This window comes from Homo sapiens, chromosome 8 (genome assembly GCF_000001405.40).
Source record: "Homo sapiens chromosome 8, GRCh38.p14 Primary Assembly".
NCBI lineage: Eukaryota > Metazoa > Chordata > Mammalia > Primates > Hominidae > Homo > Homo sapiens.
The window spans coordinates 46,976,910-46,998,559 of record NC_000008.11 but is presented as its reverse complement, the minus strand read 5'-3'; the positions used below and the strand labels follow the sequence as shown (position 1 = coordinate 46,998,559).

At 35.8% G+C, this 21,650-nt stretch overlaps 1 annotated feature.

Moving 5' to 3' along the window:
• Nucleotides 375-623: a silencer, noted in NCBI's record as "fragment chr8:47909560-47909808 (GRCh37/hg19 assembly coordinates)". NCBI's record gives its function as "represses an EF-1alpha promoter that drives an FKBP-Casp9 reporter gene in an ReSE screen in HepG2 liver carcinoma cells {active_cell/tissue: HepG2}" and the evidence as "EXISTENCE:reporter gene assay evidence [ECO:0000049][PMID:32094911]".

The following is a 21,650-nucleotide window of genomic DNA, read 5'->3' as shown; positions in this document are numbered from 1 at the left end:
GACTCCCATGGCCTTAGGGAATTTACTGCTCACAGAAGTGAGCAGAAAGGATCAATCATTCCTTAGTATACATTGAATGCATCAGGATGTATTTAGAGTATATGTTCATTTGTGTCCTATGTAGATATCATTTATAGAGCACATAGGTCTTTACATGTATGGAAACTTTTTTAATATTATTATTTTAATACCTAGCAATACTTTTACCTTGTATATCTTTTACTCTGTATGAATATCGATATATACATATATGGATATAGGTATAGACAGGTAGATAAACACAGGCATAGAGTATTATATGAGATGCCTTTGGAAATATTCAGTGTACATTCAATATTTCCCAACAGATGTTTTCAATACTCCAGCCTATCGTAAGGGCATAGATCTTGTCTTTCTTCCCTCCTATATGGTTCAATACCATTCCAGGATGGAACACAACCATAGAATGTTGTCCATATAAAGATAAAGCTTCACCTTCAGGCAAAAGGTCCAGGAAGTGAGCAAGCTGTGCTGCCATATAAGGCGTCATGTCCCACTCAGCACCTCAGGGCCCTACACTCCTTCTCGAGGGATGTCTGTGTTCTTCGCATCCATTCTTGTTGGCTTCGCTTGATGCTTCAGCAGTCCCGAGTCACCTCATTGGCTTACTGGACTCACCTGGCCTGAGCTAACTGGCTGATTTGACTCACCTGGGCTGCAGGGGCTGTAATCTGAAATGACCTTTAATCTAGATTTTATTTGGGGATTTTTTACACAGACATACTTACAAATGAACATTACATAGACATACTCATATAATGCTGTATGTGTGCGTTTACTTATGTGCCTATCTATATACAAAAGAAAGCCCCATAAAAAAACTAGGTCAGTGGTCATCTCTCATTTCAGCTGCTCCAGCCCAAGTGAATCCAATCAGCCAATTAGCTCACTACAGGTGAATCTAATCCAAGCCACACACCATACTCCATTCTCCTACCTGTGACAAAGTCCGTGTTACCTGGCACCCAGGTGTTTTTAATTCAAGGGCTCAGGAAACCAGCCCAGTGGGGTTCTGTCCATTCAGCTAGGACTGGGAAGAGCTGGCTAACATCAGTGGGTAAAGCCTTTGACAAAAAGAACAATTGGCCTGACCGATACAGCCAGTTTTGGCCCTAGAGTGCATGTTGACCCTGGCCTGTTGCCTTTTGCCCAGGTACCATGCACCCTAACATTTGCTCTCAGTACAACAGTCTATTTTCAGGGAATATATCTAGGCTTCTCTTCCCATAACCAAAAAGACCTTTCTCCAGCCAGCAAAAATTAACGACAAGAGTGTATTCCTACATCACACATTTATAGAAAAAAAATAAAGCTCCTGTCCTGATGAAAAGCCTGAAGAGAAGAAGTCGGCATTCTCAGATTTGGGCGAGGGCCTTTGGACTGGGGCTGGTTCATCTCTGGCCTGGTGCTCACCAGAGGAGGAAGGATTAACATCGATCTTGCAATGAATGATGCTTTGGCCTTAATACGTTTTTCTACTCACAGAAGAGCAACAAAAATGAATGGTTTCCTAGTATATATGAAATGCAGCAGGATGTATGTCAGAGTGTACCTTTATTTGTGTACTATTGTGGATATGGCTTATAGGGCAGATAGGTCTTCACATGTATGGAAGTTTCTTTTTATATTATTTTCACTGCCTCCATCTACCAATACTTCTATTTTCTATAGTGTGACTCTGTATGAATATAGACAGATATAGATAGATAAATAAACACACACACATACATGATGATATGAGCGTGTTTATGGAAATATTCATGTATACATACAGTATTCCCCAGCAGAGGTTTTCAGTACCGCAGCCTATTGTAAGGGCACAGACCTAGAATTTCCTCCCTCCTATATTACTCAGTACCATTCCAGAATGGAATGAAATCATAGAATGCTATATGTATAAACATAAAACATCACCTTTAGAGGCAGTGCCTGGGAAGTAAGTGGGAAGCAGCTTCTCTGGCTTCCTCTCTCCATCACCTCTCAGCTCACAAGTCTGCACTGCAAAGAGGCTGTCTTTGACCAACCAACAGAAATTAGGCCGATCTATCTATTTGATTAAAATATCTCAGTACAAGCAGCAAATATTGTATTTATTTTCTTCTAATTGTTTCCTTATGTATTACATATCTCCCTCTCTAAAATATAAACTTGACCAATATAGCCATCATAACTACCTTATTTACCTATTTGTTTCCAGCATATAGTAACATGTTTGGGGTAGATGTGTGCACAATAAATATTTTTGAAATACTTAGATAAATGTTCTCCCATCAATCAAACTGAATGAAATGTCTGAGGCTCTTTTGATAGGTCTAAGATGTAAGTAACTCTATATCATTCTAGCATGGTTTGCTAAAAGGCAACTCATGGGCTATAAAGGCAGAGACAAGGTAAGTATGGAAGTTTATATTATTAGTTTGGTAAATAATATTATGAAAAACATATAAGCTTTCCCTTAATTTTTTCAGTATTGAAGAATAGATTAAAATATCAATGTTTCTCTAGCATGGGTGATCTCAGTACAACTGGAGATAGTTTGAAGTTACTCAATATTTGGCTAACTGAACTTGCTAGTCTGCATATATAACAAACCCACAAGTCTTGACACACTGGTCTTTTAAAATATGGACTAAAGAAAATCGGACTGACTGGAACTTCCATTCTTATTCCTCTGAATATACAGCATATTCTGAATATAAAGACGGTGACATTTTAATCCCCCCCAAAATGAATATTTCTGGAAAATTGCATTCTATCAGTTTTCTTTGTTACCTATTTTACATTAATTTTGGCTATGCTATATGTTTCAGAAATACCAAAAATTTCTCACTTAAACAGTAACAAGTTAATTTCAGTTAAGATTGTTTATTTGCGAAAGCTGTTTAACTGCAGCTATGAGAGGCACTGTGGGGAGGTAGTCTGCAAACTGTTAAGATAGAAAAAAATTCTCATGGAAGAGTGAATGTGAGGCATTGTTTGCTAGAAAAAGAATAAACAAGAATAAGCTAGTGAGAAAGAAAACAAAAAATTACAAATGTAAAAGGAAGCAAATATGTTCCTCTCTTCCTAGGAAAAACAATTGTCTTCCCATCAATAGTAAAATTAGGAAAGTAAGGATAGACAGTAGATTTTGACTTTGTAATATTAGGTGAGAGGAATTGAATTTAAATTTTAGTATTCTGGCTTTAAAAATGGAATAATCTTGTGTTGACATCCTAATTTTTTGTTTTGAAATTTTACTGAACTATTAAATCCAAAAACACTAGAAACCAATTGATACTAAAAAAGATAGAAGTGACACATAAATAAAAACAGAGGCAGAAGTATCAGTGAGATGTATTTATCATTAGAAACTATCAGATGACATGGCAGCAGAAGACGGGTTCTCTGTTTAATCTCCTGAAGTGCCATGACAGACTAGTAAGACTGAGTTTGACACCTTGGTAGAAACTCTTTTGCCAAGTTGGTTTGTCATCCATTAAATTAATGTTAAATTACAAGAGTTGACCAGATTAATGTTACTCCAGAAAGAAGATGAGTATTGTTTTTAGATATTCAAGCAATTTTTAGAAGGTAGATATTCCAAACCACAGATACTCTATAAACTAATAGCTAGGAAACTTCACATAAAGTTGAAGTAACATAGATACAGCACTGTTTAAATGGTGATATTTTACAGTTATTCAAGGATTTTTATGACAGATTCATGAATTTATGTTTTTTATAAAAATTATTTATTAAATATTGCTTATAGTTTGACCTAATTGATATTCATAGATCAAATGAGAAAGTAGAAAAATAGGTTTATACTGTGTTCTTAAAAGCTTCAGAATTCATGTTCTTAAATAATACATTTTAGCCAAAAAAAAAAAAAAAAGAGTTTTTAAAAAAATTACTTGGAAACTGGAATGTTTAAGGCCTGATTTCCCAAATCAGCCATGTTTAGATGACTTGGTCAAAATACCACTTAAAGAAATTGATCATTTAAAATGACTTGTTATGTAAACAGAAAGATCTGAGCAAACTTCTTAGATTTATTAATAAAAGAGGGAAGAAAGGGAAAGAAAGAAAGGAAACAGGAAAATAAAAGGAGGGAGAAGAGATTGAAGAAAGAAAGTTGCTGAGGACATCACACTATAGAACAGCAATACATTAATTTTTGAAACAATGAAGTATTTGTTTAGGTGGCTGAAGGTGTGTGTCTGGCATCCATTTGTGTGTCTGGCATCCAATTGCTAAAACTCGAAAATGTTTGACATCATGCTTAAAAATTTCTTATTTTTAAGAAATAACTTATTTCTTATTAATTATATTAATTTAATAATTATTAAAAGTGAAAAGAGTTTTTGTTGTAAAACCATTTGTGTAAGCTTACTTACTTGTAGAAATATTGTCTTTTCATTTGGCCCTGGCAGTTGTGAACCCATTGCTAATTCTTCAGCTAAGTGATGTAAACAAATGTATATATTAATAAGTTTGCAAACTAGGCATTGTCAGGGCTGTGGTGTGGTAGGTGGAACTGTTAGACAGTCTCTTCATACATATAAGCCCTGAAATTTAGAGATCTGAGGTCATACAAAAATGAGTTTATTGTATGTGAAGTTGTAATAAAAACTAATAGAGGCCAGGCATGGTGGCTCACACCTGTTATCCCAGCACTTTGGGAGGCCAAGGCAGGTGGATCACCTGAGGTCAGGAGTTTGAGACCAGCCTGGTCAACATAATGAAACCCCATTTCCATTAAAAATACAAAAAAAAAAAAAAAATAGCCTGACATGGTGGTGCACGCCTGTATTCCCAGCTACTTGGGAGGCTGAAACTGGAGAATTGCTTGAACCCGGGAGGCGGAGGTTGCAGTTAGCCGAGATCACACCACTGCATTCCAGCCTGGGTGACAGAGTGAGACTTTCTCAAAAACAACCAACAAACCAACCAAAAAAACAAACAAAAAACCCTAATAGAACAGGCAGATGATTTTGCAGAATAAATGATGAATACTAAAATGTAGAAAAATATATAAAAGACAAGATTGGAATTGAGGGCAGAAGACATGGATGTGAGTCCTAGAGTTGATTTGAAGCTGTGCAAATCAACAAGATCCTGAGATGAAGAACAAAGAAAAGGAAGCACAGGGTGACAACCAAATCCTAAGTAGGGCACGCATTCAGGTGGCAAAAAGAAGAGAAGATGCAAACGAATATTGAGGCAAGAGAATAAACAGAGTAAAGCCCCACAGAGACCAAGACCAAACTGTAAGTGCGGTGAACTGCCTTTGACCAGTAGAAAACATAGGCTGCAGGATTAGATCTAGCCTTAGTCCTTTGTCTAACTTCAGCTATTCTCTCTAACTAGACTTTCTGATCAGGAATGAAACTGAAATGGGCCATCATTGATTTATTTTATTTTATTTTTGAGACAGAGTCTTGCTCTGTCACCCAGGCTGGAGTGCAGTGGTGCAATCTCAGCTCACTGCAACCTCTGCCTCCTGGGTTCAAGTGATTCTCCTGCCTCAGCCTCCCGAGTAGCTGGGACTACAGGCGCATGCCACCATGTCTGGCTAATTTTTTTGTATTTTTAGTAGAGACAGGGTTTCACTGTGTTAGCCAGGATGGTCTCGATCTCCTGACTTTGTGATCTGCCTGCCTCAGTCTCCCAACGTGTTGGGATTACAGTCATTGATTTACTTTCTAATGCTTTATGAGGAGCATTCATTATACCAGGTATTGGAATCATCATTTTCTGAGTAAAAATAAGGCCCACAAGTTTTTAAATTCTATGTAAACTAGGCAATTGTGATTTGTTCTCTATTTTGCATGTAAATATAAGTAGTTGTGTAGATCAATGGTCTGAAAAGAGCAAACACAGCAGTTAATGGGTGCAGACCAAGAGAGGGCAATATCCATGGAAAATAAAGATGAGAAAATCCAACTAGCCAGCAGAATCTGGCAGCAAGTTGAGCCTCTGCAAGAGAACCTTCTGCACTGAGTGCCCTGGGAGCTACTTCCCCTCTGGTGGTCTGTCTTGGCACAGAGAGCTCAAGAACAGCCCTCCAACTAACCTTTTTTTCTCCATGAACAGAATCCTGAGAGTTAAATTGGTTCCCATTGCTGTCTGCTCCTTGAATGAATACCAATGCAGCCATTCACTGCAGGTGGTTATCAGTCAACACTTACAAACATGGTGCAGATCAGTTTTCCAACAGAAATGCATTATTAAAGGCAATGCATAAAATATCTTTCAAAAGACTCAGAGGTGGCCGGATGTGGTGGCTCACCCCTGTAAGCCCAGCATTTTGGGAGGCCGAGGTGGGCAGATCACCTGAGGTCTGGAGTTCGAGACCAGCCTGGCCAACTTGGCAAAACCCCGTCTCTACTAAAAATACAAAAAATTAGCTGAGCGTGGTGGTGGGCGCCTGTAATCCCAGCTACTTGGGAGGCTGAGGCAGGGAGAACCACTTGAACCTGGGAGGCGGAGGTTGCAGTGAGCTGAGATCACTCCAGCCTGGGCAACAGAGTGAGACTCCATCTCAAAAAAATAAAAATAAAATAAAAGACTCAGGGATGTCAATAAATGTCTCAAAAGAACTCTGAAAGGGTTTCAAAAGATAGGTAAATCTTTACAGTTCTATTTTTTTTCAGTTATCTTGAATCATTTAAACAGATTCCTCTTTTCCTCCTTAAGAAAAGCATTTAGAAAGAATGCTTTTTTTTTTTTTTTTGCATTTTTTTTCATCAACACATTCTGAGTACATACATACTCCAGGGGCAGACCCTGTTTTGGACTTAGGAGACACAGCAATGCATAGGACAGACACAGTTTCTCCTTTGTGCAGTTTACATTCTAGTGAAGGAAGAAAATAAACCATAAATAGATAAAATGGTTAGATATAGTGTTAGACACAGGGAGTGATGCTGAGGAGTGAGGACTGTTGAAGGAACTAGCATCTGAACTGAAATGTAAGCAATGGAACTGACCCAGCTGTCTAAGTATGTGAGAGGACACCCTCAGTCATAGAAAAAGCAAGTGAAAACCCTGAGATGACCTAGAGCAACAGCAACAGTGACAATAGTCAGGCTGGCACAAAGTAGGCAATGTCAGAGGTGGCAAAAATGATACAGAGGAAACAGGCAGGTTTGGAGTCATTTACAGGCCTATCAGCCATGTGGAAAAATCTGGAGTTTGCTCTGTGGGGAAAGGAAAGTCATTAAAGTGTCCTTAACAAAGAAATGGCATAAGTTGATTGACATGTTGAACCTACCCAGTTTTAACATGGCAGATTCATTGCAGGAGAGCAGAACTCTGCTATGCTTTCCCTGTATGACTGCAAGAAATGGTAGTGCTGCTTTCTTTGAAAAAACAAGGGGTGAAAAATACTTCTGTGTTCAACAGGTGAAAGTAGCTCCATCTAGAACACAACTTTTCACTAAAAAGTAATCATGAATCTTCACTAGGCTCCTGATGAGGTCTTTGTTAAGTGAAACATATTTCCTCAACTCTTATACGTAAGCATATCTCTTCTTCCTATTATTTTAGCTAGAAGCAATGACAAATGTCCTAAGATGTGCAGTTCTAGCAGGAGTAATAGTGCACATGTTCTCAAGTAGAGCCTTTTGGAATGATTCAGAAATCACAGCAAATTCTATAGCAAGGAGAAAAGAATATGGCAGCCTTTTGTAAATTATAATGCATAAGGCAAGTAAACATCATTACTAGGAGTGGAATACCAAATGTGCTTAAACTAGGGAAAGCACCTGCACTAAACTTCTACTTTTCATTGCTTGGCCCATGAAATCTCTATTTGTAAGCAGATATCAAAAAAATATGTTTACTCTTGCAGTGATGACCAACCTATCAAAGTTGGAAGCTTTGAACTCTGAATTACTTCCCAAAATATAGACCTCAAGCTGGAGAGAGCTGTATTCATCAAGGGCATTTCTGTAAGAATAAATTAAATATTATATAAGAGACAAAAGACATAATTACGATCAAGATTTGTATATTCTTTTCTCTTGACTTTCAGAAGGAGGCATTTAAGCAAAAATGCACTTTCACCTTGTTTATATTTCTTTCACGGGAATTTATTTAACAAGCCCTTTGATGTAAATATCAGATCAGCCAATTGCTCTTAGCACAGTAGTACAAGATCATTTCATTGAAGGGAGGAAAAATTAAAACTACTTAAGAGTAACTCTGGAATGAGCCTTTAGGGTTATTAGTTAAATTAAGACATCCTTTTCAATGACTATGCAAAAAATTCAAAAAGCATTTTTTTCCGCTTGAAATTATCAGACTGATAACGCCAAAGTAGAAACATCATTTTCCCCTCTGCTCTGATTAGTATGGTGTGTAGAAAATGTATGGATAGTTTTTCAAGGTTATCAGGGCTGATAGACATATTGACTCCATTGTGCTCCAGGGGCTCAGATCCTGAGATCTGAAGAGATGCTGCAGAGGCCCCTTGTGGTGGTTAATACTGAGTGTCAACTTGATTGGATTGAAGGATGCGAAGTATTGATCCTGGGTGTGTCTGTGAGGGTGTTGGTGAAAAAGATTAACATTTGAGTCAGTGGGCTAGGAAAGGCAGACTCACCTTTAATCTGGGTGAGCACCATCTAATCAGCAGCTAGTGTGGCTAAAATATAAAGCAGGCAGAAAAACATAAAAAAAAAACACTAGATTGGCCTAGCCTCCCAGCCTACCTCTTTCTCCTGTGCTGGACCCTTCCTGCCCTTGAACACAAAACTCCAAGTTCTTTAGGTCTGGGGCTCAAACTGGCTCTGTTTGCTCCTCAGCTTGCAGACAACTTATTGTGGGACCTTGTGATCATGTGAGTTAATACTTAATAAACTCCCCTTTATATATATACACACACACACACATATATAATAGGAGATACATATATAGGATATATATAATAGTATATATAAAATAGAATATTATATATCCTATATATAATAGGATATTATATATTATACATCCTATATATAATAGGATATTATATGTATTATACGTCCTATATATAATAAGATATTATATATTATACGTCCTATATATAATAGGATATTATATATTATACGTCCTATATATAATAGGATATTATATGTATTATACGTCCTATATATAATAGGATATTATATGTATTATACGTCCTATATATAATAGGATATTATATGTATTATACGTCCTATATATAATAGGATATTATATGTATTATACGTCCTATATATAATAGGATATTATATGTATTATACGTCCTATATATAATAGGATATATTATACGTATTATACGTCCTATATATAATAGGATATATTATACGTATTATACGTCTTATATATAATAGGATATATTATATGTATTATACGTCCTATATATAATAGGATATATTATATGTATTATGCGTCCTATATATAATAGGATATATTATATGTATTATATGTCCTATATATAATAGGATATATTATATGTATTATACGTCCTATATATAATAGGATATATTATATGTATTATACGTCCTATATATAATAGGATATATTATATATATTATACATACTATATATAATAGGATATTATATATATTATATGTCCTATATATAATAGGATATTATATATTACATATCCTATATATAATAGGATACTATATATTATATATATCCTGTATATAATAGTATATATAATATCATATATATTATATATCCTATATATATCATATATCATCTGATTATATATATGTGATCTATATAGGATATATATATATATAGGATCTATATAGATATATATGGGATCTATATAGAATATATATATCCTATTAGTTCTGTCCTTCTAGAGAACCCTAATACACCCTTCAGCTAGAGGAATGGGTGGCTCAGGTTTTTGTTTGCTAGCTGAGTACATAGATCCAAAAGGCGGCATGTCTTTATGGAGCCAAAATTAGACTCTGTTTCTCATCCTGACAACAAGTCAAACTTTATAACAAATATTCTATGATCTAAGTGTACTAGATCCAGAAGTTCACATTCTTCCAGATTTGTCAAGTTGGGTATGTCTTTGTTGTTACTCAAAACCAGAGTAGAACAAGATTTGAAAAGATAAAAATTACTTGTTCTGTATGACACCCAAGTAGTACTATTAATAGCTTTGTAAGTTCCCCATATGAAATGTTTAAATGAAATGTCAATTAAAACTTCTAAAATTAATAAAGCAGTTTTCCATATTGTAGTACACAAAATTATGAATTGACCTTGAAAGATAAAGATTGAAATAGGATCTTGTCAAAGTATGTATGTGCAAACAGTTAATAACATCAGAGAAATATTTCTTACTAAATTATAAAATAAGCATAATATCAAGGTACTACTAAAAGCTTGAATGTGATGATTTCAAAAGAAAATGTTTATTTTTTAATTTACAATCTATGGGATAAACATCAACAATCACTTACTTATGTAGCACTAGGTGTTTAAAAACATTTAAATTTGATAACCAAATTTTCATCCTGGCTCTCTTACTTTCTGTACATCCATCAGGATAGGACACTGTGGGTCTGCTCTTCTCCAAATGCCTCTTTCTATGACATTTAGCCACTTGAGTTTCAGGTAACCTGTATGAATGTGGAGTGAATTTGACACAACTGCACATTAGTACAGCGTAAGCAGTTAACATCGGGGTTCCACTGTTGGATTGTCTGGGTAGAATCCTGGATCTGCCTCTCACTTACTGTGTGACATTTTGTAAATTATTTGAAGTCTCTGTTTTGGTTTCCTCAACTTTATAATAGAAATGTTAACGTGACCTACCTTTAAGGATAGGTAGGATGGTTGAAAGACATTATACTGTATACATAAAATGCTTGAAACAACGGCTAATACACACTACTGCCAAAAAGATGTTTAGTGGTGGTGGTGAGAGGCTTGGGGTGCTGACAGTGGTGGTGGTTGAAGTGAGAGAATTTATCATCAATCATTGGATGCATATCTAAGAAGTGACATACTATTTTAAACTTGGAAATACTCAGGCTGATATCTTCTCTGATATTATCACATAACCTCCATGTTAAGTACTACATTAATAAAAATGTACACATACATTTAATATCTCTGGAGGAGACAGATCAACCGTTCATATTCCTGTCTTTTAGTTGAGAATATTGAAATGGAAGATAATATGATTCTCATGCACGTCCGTGTGAAGAGACCACCAAACAGGCTTTGTGTGAGCAACATGGCTGTCTATTTCACCTGGGTGCAGGTGGGCTGAGTCCGACAAGAGAGTCAGCAAAGGGAGATAGGGGTGGGGCCGTTTTATAGCATTTGGGAAGGTAATGGAAAATTACAGTCAAAGGGGTTTGTTCTCTGGTGGGCAGGGGTGGATCTCACAAAGTACATTCTCAAGGGTGGGGACAATTACAAAGAACCTTCTTAAGGGTGGGGGAGAAAACAAAGTACATTGATCAGTTAGGGTGGGGCAGGAACAAATCACAATGGTGGAATGTCATCAGTTAAGGCTGTTTTTACTTCTTTTGTGGATCTTCAGTTACTTTAGGCCATCTGGATGTATACGTGCAAGTCACAGGGGATGCGATGGCCTGGCCTGGGCTCAGAGGCCTGACAATGATAGTTTGTCAAATCAAGTAATTTTGTGATTCCTTGCTGCCTACTTCTTAGAAAAAAATAGCATTAGAATGGAACCCCTTCTGTTGTCCTGTCATGAAATATAAAATCTTGCCTGGATGTGCAGCTTCCCTTTCACCTTCCATCATTGTTCATCAGAAGTGTTTCTTCTCATGCCTGCAGTCCCAGCACTGTGGGAAACTGAGGTAGGTGGATCACTTGAGGCCAGGAGTTTGAGACCAGCTTGGCTAATATGATGAGACCCCATCTATATTAAAACTACAAAAAAACTTAGCAGGGTGTGGTGTTGCACCTGTAGTCCCAGCTACTTGGGAGGCTGAAGCAGACAAACCCAGAAAGTGGAGATTGCAGTGAGCTGAGTTTGCACCACTGCACTCCAGCCTGGGAGACAGAGTGGGACTCCATCTCAAAAAAAAAAAAAAGGAAGTGTTTCTTTTCTACATGGTTAATCCCTCTTTCTTGACTCTGGTTCCTGCCTCTGCCTCTTCCTGCCTTCTCAACTTATTCCGTTTATATTGCATTGATAACATCGTCTGTATTTTCACACACTCTCCACAGGCTCCTTCCTATCATTGTTTAAATTTTAAAAACCAACAATGAAGCAAAAAAAAAGTATGAGCTCTGTGCATCTAGTTATTACTCTGGCTCTCCACTCACTTTCAAGAATAAGCTTATTTAATCAAATTATCTGCATGCCCTGGCTACCTGGTGTCACCTCCAATTAAAAACACCCCACCACATTGCAACTTAGCTTTTAGTCCAATCATCTTCTGCAAGTGACCTTGCAAATGACAAATAACCTTCATATGCTAAACCCTCTTAACATATTTTATATCATTCAGTGCTTGATTTCTCAGGGTTATTTTATGCTGTTCAGTACTCTTAACCTTCAAAATATTCCTTTTTTCCCATGATATCATTTCTATGATTTTCTTCCTTTACCTTCTGCCAGTCCTTTATTAGGGCATGTTTGCATTGTTTTATAATTAGATCTTTATTTATCTACCTTTTCTGGTTTGCTCTCAGTCCCTTGCTTGTATGAAACATGTCTTGTTCTTCTTTATATCTCCAGAGACATTACAATGTTAAATTGATGATGAAGCAATAAACAAATGAATGACTGAATGGTTTTCCTAGAAAGTTTATGCATTCAAGGGTGGTAAAAATATATCATCAGGATAAATATTTTAAAAGGTATGGATTAACTTTAAATGTCATTTCCTGTAATAAAGTTTGTCTTGTTCCATTTTGTGTTGCTGTTAACAGAATACCTGGGACTGGGTAAGTATAAAGAAAAGAGGTTTATTTGGCTCATGATTCTGGAGGTGGGGAGGTCCAAAGAGCATGGTGCTGGCATTTGGTCAGCTTCTTGTGAGGGCTTCATGCTGCATCACAACATGGTAGAGAAGTGCAAGTGAACACAGAAACAGGTATGCAAAAGGAGCAAGACACCAGAGGCAACCTTGCTCAATAACAACCTGCTTTCTTAGAAGTGAATTCATTCCCACAAGAACTCAGCTTCAAGAGTGAGAACTCACTCACTACCACTACCATGGCACTAAGCCACCTATGAAGGTGACTTAACCACACATCACGACCCAACACCACACATCTCCCTTCAGTCCCACCTTTTGAAATTTCCACTTTCCAGCATTGCTGCACTGGGAATTAAGGTTTTGACATGAATTTTGGCGAGGACCCTCAAACCATACATACAGGATTAAGTGACAAGAGTAAAACTAGCTAATTTCATAGGTAAAATACTCGGTTGCATATTAATTTAATAAATATAAGAATATAACATAATGGAAATGAAGAAGTTAATCAACTCACAGTTCATGTTTATCCCTTTGTTTCCATTTGGTTCATGCACCCTTAACTGGTAAAACCTGCCATTCCCATCCCACCTTCATTTTACTTAGAAGGAAACATTTAGCTCTTATGACAATTTGCAAACTAAAGCTGATAGTAATAAGCCCAAGGAATACCATTCAATGAACACTTGTTAAAACTGTGAAGTCCTGAGCCAGATGCTATGAAGAAGAAAAACAATAAAATATCAATCTTGTCTTTGTTTTTAGAGCATCATATAATCAAGATATGAGGGGACTTCAAAAATTTCATGGAAAAATTAAATTTAAAAATGGGAGAAAATTTTCACAACCTACTCATCTGACAAAGGGCTAATATCCAGAATCTACAATGAACTCAAACAAATTTACAAGAAAAAAACAAACAACCCCATCAAAAAGTGGGTGAAGGACATGAACAGACACTTCTCAAAAGAAGACATTTATGCAGCCAAAAAACACATGAAAAAATGCTCATCATCACTGGCCATCAGAGAAATGCAAATCAAAACCACTATGAGATACCATCTCACACCAGTTAGAATGGCAATCATTAAAAAGTCAGGAAACAACAGGTGCTGGAGAGGATGTGGAGAAATAGGAACACTTTTACACAGTTGGTGGGACTGTAAACTAGTTCAACCATTGTGGAAGTCAGTGTGGCGATTCCTCAGGGATCTAGAACTAGAAATACCATTTGACCCAGCCATCCCATTACTGGGTATATACCCAAATGACTATAAATCATGCTGCTATAAAGACACATGCACACGTATGTTTATTGCGGCATTATTCACAATAGCAAAGACTTGGAACCAACCCAAATGTCCAACAATGATAGACTGGATTAAGAAAATGTGGCACATATACACCACGGAATACTATGCAGCCATAAAAAATGATGAGTTCATGTCCTTTGTAGGGACATGGATGAAATTGGAAATCATCATTCTCAGTAAACTATCACAAGAACAAAAAACCAAACACCGCATATTCTCACTCATAGGTGGGAATTGAACAATGAGATCACATGGACACAGGAAGGGGAATATCACACTCTGGGGACTGTGGTGGGGTGGGGGGAGGGGGGAGGGATAGCATTGGGAGATATACCTAATGCTAGATGACGAGTTAGTGGGTGCAGCGCACCAGCATGGCACATGTATACATATGTAACTAACCTGCACAATGTGCACATGTACCCTAAAACTTAAAGTATAAAAAAAAAAAGATGAAATAAAAAATATAAACTTTATCAACATAAGCTCCATGAAGTTCAAGACACTTTTGAGAGCAATGCTACCAGCCATTTATTCCATCCCTAAAGATCTGAGGGTCCTTGGAATTTAATCATGTCAAAGGTAACTGGGAAATAAAAATGTTTTTCAACAAAGGGTGCTAAAATAAATACATATCCATATAGAAAAAAATGTAAGTAAAACTTAACCCCATTTTACACTATGCCCAAAAATTAGTTTGAAATAAGCCAGGAGTGGTGGCTCACATCTGTAATCCTAACAGTTTGGCATCTCCACGTGAGCCCAGGAGTTTGAGATCAGCCTGGGCAATATAGCGAGACCTCGTCTCTACAAAAAATACAAAATTTAGTTGGGCATGGTGGCACTTACCTGTAGTCACAGCTGCTTGGGGTGCTGATGTGGCAGGATCACTTGAGCCTAGGAAGTAGAGGTTGCAGAGAACTGTGACTGAGCCACTGCACTCCAGCCTGGGCAACAGAGTGACATTTTGTTTCAAAAGAAATGTTCATTGATACAAATAAATGTAGAAACTAAAACAATACAGCTTTCAGAAGAGAAAAGAGAAATAAGCTTTTGTCCCTGTGGCAAAGGTTTTTTATGGTATAGAAAGAAATAATCATGACATTTGATAGAGTCCATTAAAATGAACAACTTCTGTTAATTAAAAAACTACCCTATTGAATAAAATGTACAAGTAAAAGACTTGGAGAAAATATTTACAAAGCAATCCATAACAAAAGGCTGACATCTTTATAAATCCGATATTTATTAAGAATTTCTATAACAAATAATAAAAGTACAAATTACCTCATATGAAAGATCTTAGCAGTCATTTCAAAGAAAGAGTATAAATGGACAATATCTACATAAAATGTTCTCAATATCACTTGTATTCAGGGAAGTGTAAATTAAAGCCTCTAGCAGATATAGAAGAAACGGAAAAAGCCAATAACACTGAATGTGGGCAAGAGTGTAGAGCAACCGAAGCACCCATATATTGTTGGTGGAAGTGGAAAATAATAGAACTACTTTGCAAAATAAGTTATATTAAACAGCTAAAATTATACTTACCTCAAGACCCCACAATTCCAATTTTAGGTATTTCCCTAAGACAAATAAAAGCATGTTTACAAATATCTACATAAGAATATTCATAATTGCCAAATTTTTCAATTAGTCCTTTGTGGCAGATATTATTATTTTATTGAGCTCGTATCTATAATTGTTTGGTGAGCAAAATAAAAAATTATATTATGACTAAATAGTATTTTCTGTTACTATGTAATACATCATAAGTAACTAAATCTTAAAAATATAAAATTTCAGTAATTTATGTTATTATTTATTCATTTTATATCAAGAAATACATAAGCCATTTCCCACTATTTTCTTGATGTCACCAAAACTTCAAGTAGAGATTTTTGCTTTAACAAATATATAAATTAAACTTTATATTAAAATCTAAAGTTATTTTAACGACCACCCCATCCCACCCCACCCCCTTAGAAGTGACTATTTATACCATCATGGAAGAAAAGAAAAAAACAAATAACAAGACATAGAAATCCATAGAACTTTTAAAACTGAGCCTATTTTATTTATTTCTATGGGATATAACAGCAGGGCTATCCACATTTAATTTTATTTTTTGTTGTCTGTCTGGTGATCTTATAGAAAGTCAGCGAGCAATCTTCAATGTGTATTAAAGGATGCAGGGTGTATAATATGGTTATAAAACTGTAGCATTGAATTATTACTTAAATACTTATCACACAACTTGCTACTTAAAATTTTACTTATCTTCCTTGTGTTTCTATTGAAAGTAAAATAAATTATTGACAAGTCTCCTGTTTTCTGATTTTTTTCATTAGAGGCTATATTAGTTTCTATTAATTAAATTAGATGACCTCTCATACTGTTGGGATTGAAAAATCCATTTGTAAGTACAAAGCAGAAACCTGATAAAGAAAACATTGATTTGTTTTTTTCCAGTATCATGTGTATTGATCATCCAGTTGGATTTAGCTTTTCCTGACTATGTGATGTTTTGTTGCAAAACGGCTAGTCAATGATGCCAGCTACTAAGAGCAGCTGCTGTGAAAGGGTAGTTTGATATGTATTGCCATACTAACAAGACAAATTTGAAAAGGCTGAAGTGCAGCCACTGCAACCAGAAAGGGCTTAAATAGAGAAGTCATGTCCATTCACAAACATTCTTGCTGTGTCCTTCAGAATGGAGAGAAAACAGTTTGACTGTCATTCCATATCTGAGTATTTTAAATAAGCAGCAAGGTATCTTCATGATTTTAATGTGTTGCCAGATGAATATTTAAAACACAATTATCTGAATCTCTTCATTCATAAATATCCTGGAAATATATTTTCTCTGTGTCAGGCAGAATATGAGTAGTTGGCAATTCGTCTTGGCATAGGAGAGTTCTGCATCTTCTGTGCAGCTGTTCATCTTGGATATGCACTTCCTCCTGGCCACTAAGTGACCACATACTCCCTCCAATGCCATCTTTCCCTTCAGGCATTGAGCTGACTCACATAATCTTGCACTGACTACTAGGGTTTTCTAAGTTCATACATCATCTTACAGAATGTTCAGCACATTTAAATGAATGTTTATCATATACATTTTAATAGAAAAAGATTTGGTCAAATGAATACACTTTTTTTTTTTTTTTTTTTTTTTTAGATGGAGTCTCGCTCTGTCACCCAGGCTGGAGTGCAATGGCATGATCTCGGCTCACTGCAATCTCTGCCTCCCAGGTTCAAGTGATTCTCCTCCCTCAGCCTCAGCCTCCTGAGTAGCTGGGACTACAGGCATGTGTCACCACTCCCGGCTAGTTTTTGTTTTTTTAGTAGAGATGAGGTTTCACCATGTTGGCCAGTCTGGTCTCGAAGTCCTGACCTCAGGTGATCCACCTGCCTCAGCCTCCCAGAGTGTTGGGATTACAGACGTGGGCCACCACACTTGGCCATGAATACACTTCTAAGTATAGAATCTTAGACATCAGTGTCTATTTTCCATCTATATAGGGGGGGAATTAGTGGAAATGATACTTCTTTAAACCTCCGAATTTGCACAGCTTGCAAACCCAGCAACTCTGTAGTTCATTGGAAGAAAAACAAAATGTTGCTTCAAATAAAATGAGAATATTCCTTCCAAATATTTAGATAATAAAATGTTTTATTTGTTTTAATTTTATAATTTCTCTTAGTAGCAGATAATTAGATAGATACCAAAGGTTTCCCCCACTTTGGGGAAATTATATCAATTTAAATAATCTTTCATGTAATTTTAAAAGTGCATGTTTTTCTAAATTTAATTAATGGAGATATCAATAGCATAAGACTTTTATATTAATATAGATTTTCAACTGGACATGTTGAAAAAACTATTCTGGTGCTTCATTAAGTCAATAACATCTTCTAACTCTCCAATTCTGGAAGGTATTAGAAAATAGAAAAAGAGAGATTTTTAAAACTTTTATAATAGTTTGGAGAAGGCTGGGCATTGTGGCTCACGCCTGTAATCCCAGCACTTTGGGACAATGAGGTGGGCAGATTACCTGAGGTCAGAAATTCAAGACCAGCCTGGCCAACATGGCGAAACCTCGTTTCTACTAAAAATACAAAAATTAGCTGGGCGTGGTGTCGGGTGCCTGTAATCCCAGCTACTCTGGAGGCTGAGGCTGGAGAAACTCTTGAACTGGGGAGGCGTAGTTTGCAGTAAGCCAAGATCGCTCCATTGTACTCCAACCTGGGCAACAAGAGCAAAACTCCATCTCAAAAAAAAAAAAAAAAAAAAAAAGTCTGGGGAAATATCTTTTAAATACCTAAATCATCTTAAGAAAATGTTGAGATATTCTAACATTATAAAGCGAATTGTATAACCAAAAAGGGATAGAGGGACAGATAAATTGTGGGAAGTTTTCACTATGAAATCAATAAGAGGTAGTCTTATTAAGACAGAAAGATGGCAGAAATGATAGATCTTCAGTGGTTAAAAAAAAAGATGGAAGCATAGGAAAATATGGGCATGGCATTTAGAATAGAGGAAGTACAGAATAGGATAGAAGATAGATAGATAATAGATAGAGGTAGAGATATAGATAGAATCATTTCAGCAAGCTGGAGAGAAAAGCAGAATAAGAATACTAAGAACCTGGCATGCCAGGCCAGAGACTTTTGAATTTGATCTGAAAGAGGTGTAGTTCTCAGGGCCTGGAAGAGGCATGATGGGAGCGTCTATCGACCAGGCATCTGCTGGGTTGTCCACCAGTGCAAGGTGGTCACCTGCTTGGGGCATGACTGAGGGTTGCTGAACTGCCTACAAACCCTGGGTGTCAAAATGAGATTATGATGTTTATTTACACACTTGACTTGTGCTGTAATCAGTTTCTATTTATCTTCTTTTCATTGACCCCTTTGACGAGCTCTATGCATTATGAATAAAGTAATCAGAACATTAATTGCCAGTTGGCTGCATCACAGCTTATGAACAGATCTGTGGGACACAGTGAACTGTTTTTTCAGCCATCTCACAATAAAAACTAAACTGCACCAACTTTTTTAAAGGACATACTAGAAAAATTTATGGAATAGCCTGCTAGCTCAGTTCCAGGGAAAAGTATCAAGTGAAATATTATGTGAAGACAGAATGTCTATTGCAGTTTTCAATATCATGATGGTGGGGATAAGTTCTAAATTAGAGAAGAGATTATAGCCCCACACATCCCCCTATCAATTCCCTAGCTGGCTTCTCATCTTGGGTGTCTAATTTGGTCATGCTAATTTAGTCTCTAAAAATATTCTATTTTTCTTGTTAATGTTTTCAATTCTAGCAGTTGTTTCTGTTGTCTTTAATTTAATTTTTGTATATTTAAAATAAAAGATCAAAACTATCATTTTAAAATATACAAGTCTTGCTTCTACTCCAAAATCATCTACCCTGTTGTTACCCATCATTTTCATTAGTTCCTAGTTGATATCCAGATATATGTCTAGTGTTTGGATATATTCTTATTTATTCTTTTTTTACACAATATATACAATATCCTGTACCCCTTGCTTTGATCACTTACAAATATATCCTGGTGACTTTTTATTCTCTCTCTCTCTCTCTCTGTGTGTGTGTGTTTAGTTGAAAAATATTCCACTTGGGTATGTGTTCTATGTTGATGAGCATTAATTGTGGTCCCTGGTTTTTTTTTTTTCCAATAATGGCACACTGAATAAACTTGTGCATTTTTTCCCTATTTGTGGAGGAATAATACTTCTAAAACTTTTCTAACTATACAGAAAGTTAATAAGTATTATAGAAGAAATAATGTTCTCATTTTGTAGTTTTGGAAATGTTCTATTATTTACAAATGGCTCTTTAATGCCTTCAATTTGCAGAACACTTTAAAAATACCAATAGCAGGCATTACAATATTGGTTCATTTGCTGACCAGGGAGAGAGCTGAATCTTTCTCTATGTTCTCTAAAGAGAAAATGTATAAAGTGAACCTTACATTTCATTTGGAAATGAAGAACCCTATCATTTGTACTCTAATACTGCAAACAATATGGTTGGGTATGCTGCATTGCAGTCAGACTGTTTCAATTTATATTTATAAATGTTTTCTTTGTATAAATAAAATGACTTTGAGATTCTCTTCTAAATTTGTTGTCAATCTCCTAAGATTTGACATTGAGGGTATTATTTATTGCAATTAACCAAGGAGTAAAAAAAAATATTTTTTATTTTCATGAAACAATGGGGGATTTTCTAATTAATCTGATATTTTACTTAGCTATTATAATTCAATTTATGTAACTTTTCTGGTCATTCTTTGAAGGCATTTTTATCATCCATGAGAATCTGAAATATCAAGGGAAAATATTTCAATATTCATTTAGCCCTGCAGGGATCTTTGTGCTGTTCCACTGCAAATAACTGTGTAGGCCTTTCAATGTTTTCAGTGTCAGGAAGCAAGTTCCAACTTTTTTATATCATTATTTTTTATTGCTGACAAGATAAATGAAAAAAACTGAATTACTTATTATTATCACTAATACTAATTATCCAATTATCCAACAACAAAATAAAAGTAGTTAAAAACTCCTTTTTATTATATTATGCCATGCTAGAAAATAAAGTATCATTAATAATATTTTTGTGTGTAACGGTCCATTATATTCTAGATTATATTTAAAGCAACAGTACTTGGTTATCAAATTATTTTATTTCTTAGTTATGCAGCTTCATTCTCACTATTTTTATAACTTTTTTCTAAAGAGAACCAAGACTACATAAAAATGTAGTGTCATGTTCATCATTGGCTTTCTAATGAAGAAAACATATGAATAGCAATAAATGCTTGACACTTAAAGTAATAACTGCATTTATTTGCCACAAATCCTCTAATGTGTACACTGGTCATGTTCCAGTGATGCTTTAGCTCATAGATAAACCCAACGCATTTTTATTATAACATAACTAAACTTGTGTGTTTCGATCTAGAAGTAAAATATATCCCAAATAAAAGGTTTTGAAATAAACATGTGGTGCCCAATAGATTAATTATTTGTAATAGGTAAAAACGTGGGGAGAAAAGCTGTGTGGATGAGATGAAAATGTTATTTCCAAAGATTATATGCAAATGTATGCATTTTCCAAAGATCTAGACAGAGGCCTGATGATGAAACATCCAGGTTTAGCTGTTACAGTCCGTGTTCTGTTCTAGATCTCCATTCTCTGGGCTGGGTGTCTTGATGCTGCACAAGCCAGTGTTCAGGACATGGAGAACCTAAGTGTCTTCCTCCTGCTTCAAGAATTTAATAAATATGCAGGTAATTATTGTGCCAATGACGAGCTTCA